Source organism: Homo sapiens, chromosome 2, assembly GCF_000001405.40.
Source record: "Homo sapiens chromosome 2, GRCh38.p14 Primary Assembly".
Taxonomy (NCBI): domain Eukaryota; kingdom Metazoa; phylum Chordata; class Mammalia; order Primates; family Hominidae; genus Homo; species Homo sapiens.
In genome coordinates, this window is record NC_000002.12 from 37127746 (window position 1) to 37142229 (window position 14484).

Sequence of the window (14484 nt, forward strand, 5' to 3'; positions counted from 1 at the left end):
TTTTTTTTTTTTTTTGAGACAGAGTCTCGTTCTGTCACCCAGGCTGGAATACAGTGGTGCGATCTCCGCTCACTGCAACCTCCACCCTCCAGGTTCAAGCGATTCTCCTGCCTCAGCCTCCAAAGTAGCTGAGACTACAGGTGCATGCCACGACACCTGCTAATTTTTGTATTTTTAGTACAGATGGGGTTTCACCATGTTGGCCAGGCTGGTCTCGAACTCCTGACCTCAAGTGATCCATCCGCCTCAGCCTCCCAAAGTGCTGGGATAACAGGCATGAGCCACTGTGCTTGGCCTGTTCATGTAATTATTTATTTAAAGTCGGTCATCCCCATGAAACTCCATGACAACAGGGACCATTTTATTTGTTCCTACCATAAACCTGATGCCCAGCACAGTGCCAATTCTATATTGGGTGCTTAATAAACTTTTGATTCCGTATTGTTTTTTAAAGTTTTATATTGAATGACCCGCCCCACTGATGCAAACAGGTCTCCATCGTTTCAGACATTTCATTTTAAATCCAAACATATTGTCTACAGCAGAGTAGACTTTTTTTCAAGTGAAATCTGATATGGAGCTAGAAAGTAGAAAACAGATACAAGTGGATCAATTCTAATTCCCACAGAAGTATTTTTTTTAATCACTGATTTACAGGAGTACTTGTTTTCAATATTAATAACTTGTATAGATGTCAGAGAAATCCACATAAGCATCACAAAGATCTACAATTACCACATTCCATTTGGATCTGTCTAGATATTACTTCTCCAAGAGACATGATCAATCGTGCGCCGGATAGTGCAATGTCAATTAAACTGTTCGGGTGGAAGTATAATTTAGCCTTATAATGGGCCCTCAAGAAACTTCTGTTGAATGAACAACACATCTTTAAACAAATTCTATTTCACAGTTCCATCTTTGACAGAACAGGAGCATTACCATCTTGGACAAGCACCACTACTTTAAGTTCCCCTTGATTATAATAACTCCATAATAAAGCCCCTATACAAAATCCAGTGGCCAATGATGCAGTCCCCCATAGAGGCCCAGATGGGACTTGCCAACAGGGAGACAATGGCATCAGGTGAAGAGACCACATGATTACCTGTCTCCTCACGGGCATGGACAAAAATGCCCATAAGGCAGTTAATTATGAAAAGCTCAGAGAAATTACACAAGAGCACCAGTAAAACCCTGCCCTTTTCTTATCACACCTCACTGAAGCTATGCTAAAATATACCAATTTGGACCCAGAATCTAGAGAAGGTCAAACTTTTCTCTACCTCCAATTTATTTCCCAATCCACCCCAGATATTCGGAAAAAATTACAAAAATTAGAGGAGGGCCCCCAGACATCTTGGTGGGAGCTCCTAAATGCGACCTTCCATGTCTTTAACAACAGAGATGAGGAACAAAAAATTCAAGAGGACAAACATCTCCATTTAAAATACCAGATGCTTGCCTCTGCTGTCCAAAAGTCAGTTATACGAAAGCCTCCTAATAACCCAAAGGGAAACTCCCCCACCTCTCCAGGAGTCTGTTTTCAATAAGGCAACCCTGGACACTGGGAAAAGGCTTGTCCTATCCCCTGGCCTCCCACCAAACCATGCCCAACTTGCAGTCTTTGGGGACACTGGACGATGGAATGCCCTCAACAGGGACACCTTCCCCATTCGGGTACCACTCATAATGAAGCCCCCCAAACATTACAGGAGGAAATCTCTTCACTGTTGGTGCTGACAACGGAAGACTGAGGGTACCCGGCATCCTTCGCCCCCACATCTAGTGAGTCCACAAAACCCAGGTTAATTGGGACGGTATCTGGTAAGATTATTTCCTTTCTTTTGGATACTGGGGCAAGTCTACTGGCATTAACTGAATACCAAGGCCCATTAGAATGTTCATTTGTTTCTGTTGATGGAATGAAGGGCATACAAGAAACCCCATACAAAACACTGCCTCTATATTGCTCATTTCAGGGAGTCACCCTCACTCACTCTTTCTTGGTCATTCCTCATTCCCCCACTCCTTTACTAGGAAGGGACATCCTACACAAACGGGGACGAATCATTCATTTATCAACCCTACACCAAAGCTACCCCTATTTATTATCATCTCAAGAACAGAACCCTTCCTCAGACATTCCATATCAAACAGACTTAAATCCCAAATTCCTCAGCCCTGTAAATCCCATAGTATGGAACACTGACTCCCCCATGTTAGCTACCCACCATTCTCCAATTCAAATTTCAATGAAGGATCCTAAATGTCAAATAGTGGTCCCACAATATCCCCTAATGGACTATGGGGACTCAAGTCCATCATCTCCCAACTTTTGGCTGCCAATATTTTATTTTATTTTATTTTTTTGAGATGGAGTCTTGCTCTTGTCACCCAGGCTGGAGCTCAATGGCGCAATCTTGGCTCACTGCAACTCCTGCCTCCCAGATTCAAGTAATTCTCCTGCCTCAGCCTCTTGAGTAGCTGGGACTATAGGTGTGTGCCACCATGCCCAACTAATTTTTGTATTTTTAGTAGAGATGGGGTTTCCCCATGTTGGCCTAGACTGGTCTTGAACTCCTGACCTCAGGTGATCCACCCGCCTTGGCCTCCCAAAGTGCTCGGATTACAGGCGTGAGGCACCGACCTGGCCTGGCTGCCAATATTTTAATCCCCACCCATTCTCCCCACAATACTCCTATTCTCCCAATTACAAAACCAGATGGCTCCTATAGACTGGTTCAGGATTTGCAACAAATAACTCCACTACTGTTCTGTTTGTCCTGTTGTCCCAAACCCCTATATCCTCATATTGCAAATTCTTCCCAATACTAGCTATTTCTCTGCATTAGACCTCAAAGATGCCTTTTATATTATCCCTCTATCTTCCTCCTCTCAAAACCTTTTTGCTTTTACTTGGACTGACGCTGACACAGGCTACTCCCAACAACTCACCTGGACTGTCTTCCCCCAGGGGTTTAGGGACAGCCCTCACTATTTCGGTCAGGCACTTTGATTGGACCTTTCCCAACTACCTCTACAACCCAGTGTTTTGCTTCAATATGTGGACAATTTACTTCTTTGCAGCCCCTCTCTAGAACACTGTATTCAACACACAGCCAGGCTTTTAAATTTTTTGGCTGAATGTGGGTACCAGATATCCAAAAGGAAGACCCAATTTAACCTCTCCAAACGTTTCATAGCTAGGATTAATCATAACTCCAAATACCAGGGAAATTCCACTAGCATGAAAGCAAGGCATTTAACAAGTCCCATTTCCTAAGACAAAAAGGGACTTATTTTCTTTCCTCAAATTAGTGGGATATTTCTGATTATAGATAGCAAATTTTGCCACTATCACTAAACCTCTTTATGAACACACAAGAGGAAATCTTGATCAACCACTCACTCCTACCCCAGACCTTTATCATGCTTTCTGTCACCTAAAATGTGCCTTATTACAGGCCCCCACTTTAGGCCTTCCAAACCCCCTAAGACCTTTTCATCTATATTTACACAGTTCTCATAATCAGGCCCTTGGACTATTAGCCCAATCCATGGGAGATTCCCTCCAACCAGTGGCATATTCTTCAAAACAACTAGACCCCATTTACAAAACCTGGCCCCTTTGCTTAAAAATTTTGTCCACAGCCTCTTTAATTATCCCTGAGGCACAAACTCACATTCTATGAACCTCTTCAGGTGTTTTCTTCTCACAGTCTATAAGATATGCTCAGCCATAAGGCGCTCACCTCCATCTCATCCTCTCACATGCAAGCCCTACATTCAACCCTCCATCTCTCTTCACAGATGCTCACTCCTAATCCTGCTACTCTTTTATCTTCAACACTGATTTTGGACCCTGACCAACACTCATGCTCTGATCTAATTGAAAGTTCTCTTGCCGTGTTTTACCACCTTACTTCCACTCACATAAAGGGAGCCCCAGATTGATTTATAGATGGCAGCGCATCAAAAAACCCTCCCCGCCAAGCAGGATATGCAGTCACTGAGAGATATTGTGATGATACCCACTGTCTTCCACCTAGAAGAGTTGTAGAGGCTGCCCCCTTGCCTTTGGGCACATCCTCCCAACAAGCAGAATTAGTTGCCCTAATGAAAGCATTAACCCTAGCAAAAAACACACAAGTTAATATATACCACCAATTCTAAATATGTTTATAACATCAACCATTCCAATGCCCAAATTTGGAGCAAGTGGGGCTATCTCACAGCTAAGGGAACTCCTATCATTAATGGAAAACTAATCCATTGTCTACTAAAGGCAGCTCTACTTCCAAAAAAGGCTGCAGTTACCCATTGCAAAGGACTTCAATCAGATAAAAGCCACATTTCTTTAGGGAACCGTGAGGCTGACTATTGGGCAAAACACACCTCAACCAACCATCCAATTCTCTAGTATCTATTTCCCCTCACACAACATATCCCCTTTTATCCCAAACACCAAATACAACAACTACTCACAGCGGGGGCACAATTCAAACTCCCATACTGTCATACAAAACAAATTAGTCCTACCTGACCCTGAAAAAACAACTCTTGGCCAGGTGCGGTAGTCACGCCTGTAATCCCAACACTTTGGGAGGCTGAGGCGGGCGGATCACGAGGTCAGGAGTTTGAGACCAGCCTGATCAACATGGTGAAACCCTGTCTCTACTAAAAATACAAAATTAGCCAGCCATGGTGGTGCGTGCCTGTAATCCCAGCTACTCAGGAGGCTGAGGCAGGAGAATCGCTTGAACCCCAGAGGCAGAGATTGCAGTGAGCTGAGATCGTGCCACTGCACTCCAGCCTGGGTGACAGAGCAAGAATCTGTCTCAAAAAACAAACAAACAAAAAACAACTCTGTTATGGGACATCCACAACCTCTTGCACACTAGCCATTCCCCTCTACAACATTTCTTAAGTTCCCACATACACATAACCCCAGATATAAAGGAACAGTTGAAAGCCATTTTCCATCAATGCTCTATTTGCCAGAAAGCTTCACCCCATTCCAACACTGGACTCCCTTCTTTTCCAACCCATCAAGCCAGGGGACACCTTCCAAGACAAGACTGGGAAATTGATTTTACCCATATGCCCCCAGTAAAAAAGGTTCGATTTCTTTTGGTTCTGGTTGATACCTTTTCGGCATGGGTTGAGGCTTTTCCGAAAACCAACAAATGAGCTTCGACTGTCACCTCCAAATTAATAACAGAAATCATCCCCAGGTTCAGGGTGCCTCCTTCTTTTCAATCTGATAATGGTCCTGAATTCATTTCTCAAATTACTCAAACACTTGCACAAGCCCTACGAATCACCTGGAAGCTACACATCCCCTATCAACCCCAGTCTTCAGGAAAGGTTGAAAAAATGAATGGCATTCTAAAAATCACCCGCACCAGGTACTCACTCCAAACACATAAAGACTGGGTTACACTTCTAGCTTTGGCCCTCCTAAAAATTCGGGCACTCTCACGTAAACCTTTAATGCTCATCCCCTTTGAACTCATGTATGGGAGTTTTGAGCATAAGTATTTGAACTCATGCTCCTTTTGTTCCACCTCAGGGTCAAGCCCCACCTCTAACAACCCCTCTCATTTCTCCTCTTCTGCATATCATCTGCCATTTCATTTGGGAATATGCTGACAAAATACAACTCCTTTAATCCCTTCCTACAGTCAGGAAACTGGGTTCTGGTAAAAGGTCCCAGCCCTACCCCCAATTCCCCCCTCACACCAAAATGGAAGGGGCCTTACCAGATCTTCCTCACTACACCCACAGCAGCAAAGCTCCAGGGACTCCCCAGCTGGTTTCATTATACTTCTCTCAAGAACACAGACTTCCCTTCACTACACATCCAAACAATCAAATCTAAACCACCTTCAGCCTCTCTTGTGTCTCCACAGGATCCACTTCCCTTCATCTCACATGAATGCCGGAGGAAAAGGAAGAGAAATTCACCTAAGCAGCTATGTCTCTTTCTCTCCCAAACTTTCATTGCTTCCTAACTAGCCTTGTTACAGACCTTCAGTGGTATCCTTATGAAACTCTCATTATACATCCTGATCAGCTCCTTACTATTCCACGGGATTTATGGCTTCAAGGAACCTTCCAGGACTTTATTCCTACCCAAACTTTTTCCTCCTTTTGTTGTTTCTTTCTATCTAAATTCCCTAATCACATCAACCTCACCGATACAACCACTCCTCACTGCTATCAAACTAGAACGTTCTATAAACCTTACACAACCCCTCTTGCTGCAAGCTAACTCTTCCTTTGCTCCAGAATGCTGGATGTGTTTATCGCTGTCTTCTTCAGCTTATACATCCCTTCCTACACCCCTTCATGACCTTTTAACAGAAAACGTAACCCTAATCTATAAACTCCAAAAAGGAGCTTCCTTTTTTGAAAGAGCTGACAGTCTGGTTGGCGATTATCCCACTTCCAAGGTCAATCAGGCCAACACATTATTTCAAACCTATTACAACTCCCTACAACGCCTTAAGCCACAAGGCCCTCCCATTGAAGGGCCCATAATTAAACACACCCCACTTTTACAACAAGCCTCACTTTGCTTTTCAGCCTCTGAGGGAAATTTCCGTGTAAGATCCTTAAACCTAACCAATGCAACCGCATTATCATTGTTAAACACCCTGCTGACCATCAAACTAACCGAGTTGACTACCAAGTATCACCTGAAACGAATGGAGCATTTCTGCAACCTGTTCGTTTTGCAGCCTCTCCCTCAACCAATGCCTCTGGCCTAATTTGTGCTGCCCCTAGCGCCCACCTTTATCCATGGCTCAACATCAATGCAATGGTGCAACATCAAATCGTATTAAATGTGTAAAAAATAACTCTTCCTATATCGCTACTATAGTGGGTGTCTCCTTGACCTCCTCCTTGACCACCTGGAGTAATGAACCATAGGAAAGAAAAAACACCCATCTTTAATTCACTTGTTTTCTTTCTGTATCTCCAACTGTATTTATGACAAAGGCTTATTTTTTGTGTGAGTGGCACCAACACATATCTTTGTCTCCCCACTAACTGGACTGGAACCTGTACCCTAGTTTATCTTTCTCCCTCCATTGGACTAATTCCTCCTAGCCAACCTTTGCCCATTCCATCCATCCAATACGTTAGGAAGAGGAGGGCCATCCACGTCATTCCTTTAATGGCTGCCTTGGATATAACCTCCAGACTTGGATTGGGAGCAGGCAGATTGGCCACTCCCTTAACATACTTTAAAGCTCTTTCCACAGAATTACAGGGTTCTTTAGAAGATATAGCCTGAAGCATTATAAGAGTCCAAGACAAACTAGACTCCTCGGCTGGAGTAGTCCTCCAAAACAGATGGGGACTAGATCTAATAATGGCTGAAAAAAGGGACCTCTGCCTCTCATTGGGTGAGGAATGTTGCTTTTATCTCAACCAATTGGGCCTAGTAAGAAACGCTGATGAAAAACTTAAAGAAAGGGCTAAAAAGCTAAGGGAGTATCAAAACAACCAACTAGATTCTTGGTTTGGGAACAAAATCATAATATGGGTCATCCCATTCCTGGGCCCCCTCTTAATGATAAGCCTAAGACTATTGTTCTTACCCTGCGTAGTTAATCTTATTCAAATATTTTTAACTGACAGGATCATGGCCATTTCACAGACAACTACCAAAAACATCCACCGACAGCATTACCCCTTCTTCTTTCTTCAGCACTTAAAATCTTACCTCTTGTCCACAGTATACTTTGTTTCTTTCATGTCAGGAAGGTCAAATCTGGGTGCCAAAGATCTAAAAATTAAGAGTTGAATGTAAAACTCAAATAAAATTGAAATCAAATATAACTTATTTAGTGTTAATGTTAACCTTTTTCTTTCTTTTTTTTTCTTCAGAGGCAAGGTCTCACCCCATCTCCCAGCCTGGAGTGCAGTGGTGTGATCATAGCTCACTACAACTTTGAAATTCTGGGCTCAGAGGAGATCCTCCCACCTCAGCCTCCCAGGTAGCTGGGATTACAGGCATGTGCCACCATACCTGGCTAATTCTTTTTATTTTTAGTAGAGACAGGGTCTCTTCATGTTACCCAGTCTGGTCTCGAACTCCTGGACCCAAGCCATCCTCCCACCTTGGCCTCCCAAAGTGCTGGGGATCACAGGCGCAAGCCACAGCACCCAGCCAACTTTTTTCTTTATAAAACTATATACTTACCGTTCTCCTCTGGCCTCTAATACTTTTTCATCCCTCCTCTGGTTCCTTTTTCCACCTTAGAGTGCTCATTGTTGATGCGTCACTAACCTCTCCTTTTCCTCCTCCAGACTCAAAACCTCAGGAAGTACATCTCCTTACACCCTCATCCTAGCTGTTATTCCTTACTGATGATAAGCCACCTGCAAATGGAAGTTTAAATACCACCTAAAACTAAACATATCCAAACTGCTGTCTTCTCTCTAAGCCCTTAACTCCTTAACTTCCTTAACACCATTAGTGCCATGGTTCTTGACTGCATCCTGTTCAAAGTGAAGCAATCTTCAAATCCTTTCTCCTTTACCTCTCCTTCATGCTTTCACTCAGCTACGGGGAACCTATTCCCTCAAGTCATGTCCACTCTTCCTTTACAGTCTTTCTCACACATTCTCCTCATCCCTCCTGACTGCCACAGTAATCGTGGCTGAGGGCACCTCATGTGCAGAACTCTCTTCTCTCCATCCAAGCATCCACATCAAGAACCATGTTTCTTCAATACATCTATCTACTGCTCAGAATATACTGGTGGCTCATAATGGCTCCTACTGCCATCTTACTGTCATTTCTGACTATATTTACATCTTTGCCTTTCTCTTCAGTTAATTGACATAGCATTTGACCTTTTTTTAATCCAAGTTTTTATGCTATTTTAACCTTACTTGTCTGCAAAATAATACACTTCTCTTGAAAACACTTCTACAGTGAAAACAGCCCAATTCCTTGCCAGTCTTGTACAAAATAATGCCCTTAACCTAATTACTCTAGCGATACCCCCAAAGTGCTTTATGTTTACAGTGTAGCATGTGCACATAGTCAAAGATTTCTCGACACATCTAAAATTATTTGTTTATAGATTTCAAGCTTTCTGCTTCTGAAACTCTGCTCAAATAAGGGTGTACAATACTCTACAAGTATTAAGAACAATAAATAAGTCTGAAATAAAACTTCAGATCAAAATATGTTCAATGCATAATGATACTCACCTTTTTGCCTTCCTTTGATTATTTCTGAGACCATTCTATAACAAAAGAAAATGAGAAATAGTTTCAGATGACTAAATCAGTCATCTTCCTTTCCCGTTTTCCTTCCTCCTGTATATCTAGATGGCTCTCTGACCAATTTCTTAGTCCATCAATGTCTGTACTCTCATCAAGCCCTGTATCAACACTTAGTATTGTAAGACTTAACTTTTTGCCAATCTAATGAGTTTAAAATAGTATCTAATTGTTTTGATTTAAATTTTCCTGATTCCTAGTAAAGCAGCTTTTAATATTTGTTGCCCATTTGGGTATCTCTTCTCTGAATATCTGTTTATACATTTTGTACACTTTTCTACTGAGCTGCTTGCCATTTTCTTATTGATTTGTAGTTCTTTATAACAGAATACTCTTGTAACACTAATCACCAAAAGCATGGATTTTGCTCTAAGTTCAACATTGCCTGCTTATGTGCACAAAAAAATTGTCTGGTTTTTGTTTGTTTGTTTGTTTTTGCGATGAGGGTCTCACTATGTTGCCTAGGCTGGTCTCAAACTCCTGGGCTAAAGCGATCCTCCTACCTTGGCCTCTCAAGTGCTGCAGGCTACAGGCATGTGCCACTGCACCAGCCTAAAAAATTATCTGATTTCAAGTTTACTTTTAAGTTTAATTCTAATTTTTAAAAACAGAAACGAACTATATTAGTGAATCTTTAAATATTATCCCATTGGTAGGAGAGAAAAGCAAAATCATAGGAATATACTAAAATATAAGGATGAGTGAGGAAAGACAGAAGTGACGTGTGGAAGGGTAAGGAATGGAACTTAATTTTAAAAAAAGTCAAAAAGCTGCCGAGCCGGGCGCGGTGGCTCATGCCTGTAATCCCAGCACTTGGGGAGGCCGAGGTGGGCAGAACACGAGGTCAGGAGTTCGAGACCAGCCTGAACAACATGGTGAAACCCCGTCTCTACTAAAAGTACAAAAATTAGCCAGGTGTGGTACACGCGCATGTAATCCCAGCTACTCAGGAGGCTGAGGCAGGAGAATCGCTTGAACCAGGAGGTGGAGGTGGTAATTAGCCAAGATCTCACCACTGCACTCCAGCCTGGGCAACAGAGGGAGACTCCATCTCAAAAAAAAAAAAAAAAAAAGTCTACTGAGGTATTATCATTTAGTAAGAGTGCATAAGATAAAAAATATAAAAATTATGGTGGAATACTGGAAGTTATTTTTAAATGAGGAAACGCACAGAAAAATAAGATTAAGTAGGAAGCTTCGAGACTAATACGATACCATAAGCAACGAAGAACTGTTTAAACTGTCACTGTTAGAATTTATCTCTGATGTATCTGCTGAGAAGTCACCTTCAGATGATGATTCAGAAGCGCTAGAAGAAAAGGGTGTAACTATTAGTTTATTAATTCTGTTTTTATCACTTATTTCTTTCCCTAAATTCTCCTTAAACATAAAAATCTGTCTTTCAGACAGAAATATGAATATGTTAAGTATCTCAATTGTTTGTCTACACTTACAGTGTGCTGGTCACTAAAGAGTTGCTTTGGGACTCACACGTAGTAGCAAAAGAACCAGAGGACAGGTAGTCAGATTTCTGAAAGAAAAAGTATCCCTTAGTAGGCTTAAATACAACTAATTATTTCTCTACAGAGGCTCAGTTTCTATGTACTATCACATTTATTTCAACACATTTACCAAATCCACAACCATAAACAATTACAAGATTAATAACATTTTTTGGATGTTTGGTCTGGATTTTATTTTATTTTTTATTTTACTTTTCTGGATCACAGGGCAGATATTTTGTTTGTTTCTTTCTTTTCAGACAGGATCTGGCTCTGTTGTCTAGGTTGAAGTGCAGTGGCACAATCTTGGCTCACTGCAACCTCCATCTCCCAGGCTCAGGCAATCCTCCCGCCTCAGCCTCCTGAGTAGCTAGGACTACAGGTACATGCCACCACACCCGTCTAATTTTTTTTTTTTTTTGTAGCGACATGGTTTTGCTGTGTTGCCCCGGCCAGGTGGTCTGAAACTCCTGAGTTCGGCCAGGTGCAGTGGCTCAAGCCTGTAAACCCCAGCACTTTAGGAGGCTGAGGTGGGTGGATCATGAGGTCAGGAGTTCAAGACCAGCCTGGCCAACATAGTGAAACCCCATCTCTACTAAAAATAAAAAATTAGCCGGGCACGGTAGCAGGCGCTTGTAGTCCCAGCTACTCAGTAGGCTGAGGCAGGAGAATTGCTTGAACATGGGAGGCGGAGGTTGCAGTGAGCCGAGATCGTGCCACTGCACTCTAGCCTGGGCAACAGAGCGAGATTCCATCTCAAAAAAAAAAAAAAAAAAACTCCTGAACTCAGGAGATCCACCTGCCTTGGCCTCCCAAAGTGCTGGGATTACAGGTGTGAGCCACCACACCCAGCCCAGCCTGGAGTTTAAAAACTACCCTGAGTTGCCACCAGAAATTTTATCCCTCTGAGGCCTCATGGCCCCATGGTGCATGGCTCATCGGTACGACACAGAATGGAGGAATCATTTTGCTAAATCACTGGCTGTCTTGGCATAATGTTAACACAGTCTAACCTCAAGTCAACTTCAGAGGGAATTTTAAAACATAAAAATTTAATCCAAAGGCAATACGTACCACTGAGGTTTCTTCTGATAATATCTGAAGATATGCAAGTTTAGCGGCCAATTGTTTTGCTTCCTGTTTAGTAGAACCTGTACCAATACTATATTCTTTCTGTCCCATTTTGCATTTATAATGAAATCTAGGAGAAATCATAGAAGGTACTTATCCAAACATGAAAAATATAGCAAATCCAACTTAGGATTCAAAAAAAATAACATATTAACAGAGATCTTAAGATAACACCAATTTATTAGATAGATTTATAGTTCATATCTTGCATAATTTAAACCCTCAGTAACATGCCTGACCAATTTCTCTGAATACCCAGGATCAGCTGACATCTGAGCTTGCATTTTCCAGGCAATTTCTAATTTTTTGTTGCTTTGCTGAAAGATCTGGCACAAAGGCACTAAGTGGTGATTTTTTTTTTTTAATTCCCCAAAGGTCAAAAGATACGGAGGTAGAAAAGAAAGAAAGAGATCCAGTGAATTTTTTCAGAGGTGCTCAAATGGGAAGGAAAAAGCCAGCAGAGAAAGTAGGCTTCCACAGGAGAAGCTATGAGGTTATAGTGTAGGGGAAGAGCAAAGCATGGATTCTGCTCTAACTTCACCATTGTCTGCCATCTGCTCATGTGCACAAAAATTTGAGAAAATCCCCACAGTGCAGATTCCCTATACTAAAGTCCACACTCTCCTCCTATTAGATGTAAGGACATTTGTGGTTAGGCAAGGATACTTGGACAATTATATAATAACTATTTTTAAGGGATAAAACAATGGACATGGCAATTTATATCACAGGGTTACTATCTATTACTGAAAAATGATTCCAGTATTTGAACTCCTTTTGCTTTATGTTTCTGTTGGAAGCCATCGAGAGAAACACATCCAAACAGGGTGAGTCTTCCCCGCTAGACCCTGAATTAAATAGCTGGGTTGAGTGACTGGATCATTTCTATAGCTCCTATTTTTTTCAGATACTGCCCCCCCCCGCAAACAGATTTCTTCTTTCTTTTAGGTATCTAATGTTAGCATAATTTAAAGAAACCAAAAAAGTGAGCTACAGAAAATAAAATCATCTCTTAATTATTGAGATTGACTCACAGATTCACTTTTGACTATTTCATTCCAATGAATACTATAACATTTTTCTCTTCCTGGTTTTGGCTCAAAAGCCATGACTGTAAATAGCTGAGTCAATTCATAGAAGTGTATCCTAAAGTGATGATTTAAACTATTTGCCATGTAGATATTTTTTTTCTTCTTTCTCTTTAACTGGTTGGTTGTAGTTGAAAAACAATTGCCTCATACTCATTTGATTTCTGCTTTTTTCAGTTCCAATCCATTCTTTATCCTATTTCCACACATCTTAGCTCACTGGTGATGTTCTCAGTAACTTTGAAACTCTAGTTCATCTGTCTCATCAGATCCCTCAAATCCCGGTCTCCTCATAGTCTAGGGCTAAAGCTCATTCCTTCTGATACATGGTATTTGTTCATTTAATCAAATTTGAAGGACAAATACCTGGACAAAGAGCTCCCTGATCTGACAAGGGTGAAGAGTGATTCTATACATGTGGCAGAGAGGTTTTCAGACAGTTACCACCATCATGTCCTCAATGATGAAAAGATTTCTGTATTCTTCGAGCAGTGGCACCCTGTACTCTCTTGGGTGTTCCACAGACTAAACCATCCAGCTACTTCTCTGAAATAAAGGATTACCCTAATTTGATCAATTATGGTAAATGGGTTCCATGGCTTCAGCAATTAAGCATTTTAATTACAAATTATAAATCCAATTACTTATCAATCATGTAAAACCTTGCATACAGAATGCTTAAAAGGACACATATTTCTGGAAAATTAGACACGAAAATAAACCAACTTTATTGCTTAAATACAATGAAACAGAAAGAAAAGCCAAATTATGTCTTACCCTTCTGGCCCATGCACCCCCGATGCACACTGTTCATAATTTACAGTTAGTCTTTTCTTCTGGGCAATTCTATTGATAAGGCCTATGTAATTCCCCATGGATAATCCTTCTGAAGAATTCGTTGTTGTCAATAATAAAGGACTAACTGCCTACAAAGAAAAAAAATTCCTGTTTAATATAAATGACAACAAAGATTTAACCTTTTAAAAATCATTCTTCTAATAAAATTACTAAATGAGCAATTTGAAAGACAACTTGGATGTTATATATTTTCCTATTATATTACCTTGAGCAAAAGTGTGACTACGTATCTCCCTCTACCAGAAAAAAATCGACGAAGATAGATTTTAACAATAGGAAAGAAGTCACTTTTTCTTGTTTGTCCTTGGAAAGTACTATAACACTTTCTAGCTTGTTATACCCTTTCTAATCTCAAAAAACAAGGCAAGAGATATTACAGTAAAGCTGTATACTGGATCATAACTTAATGAAAAAGATGAATATAATAGCATCATTTCTACTATTATTATCTCTACCTTTTTTTCTTAGTCCGACAAAAATCTTGTCCAAAGTTTTGATATTTTTTTAATTTTTTTCAGACAGGGTGTCACTTTGTCACCCAGGCTAGAGTGCAGTGGTGCAACCTCAGCTCACTGCAGCCTTGACCTCCTGGGTTC

The 14484-nt window shown here is 41.2% G+C and overlaps 1 protein-coding gene across 6 annotated transcripts in view; it reads right to left on the bottom strand.

The window, feature by feature from the left end:
- EIF2AK2 (eukaryotic translation initiation factor 2 alpha kinase 2) overlaps positions 1–14484 on the bottom strand; it is a 57771-nt gene that overhangs the window by 28536 nt on the left and 14751 nt on the right. For all 6 annotated transcript variants that reach the window (XM_047445116.1, XM_011532987.3, NM_001135651.3 and 3 more), the window contains 6 exons: positions 13808–13956; positions 11886–12012; positions 10764–10840; positions 10525–10618; positions 9238–9272; positions 7739–7801 (listed from right to left, as the gene is read on the bottom strand). In XM_047445116.1, the coding sequence (XP_047301072.1) occupies positions 7739–7801; positions 9238–9272; positions 10525–10618; positions 10764–10840; positions 11886–12012; positions 13808–13956 (545 nt within the window). The remainder of the gene's footprint in view (positions 1–7738; positions 7802–9237; positions 9273–10524; positions 10619–10763; positions 10841–11885; positions 12013–13807; positions 13957–14484) is intronic.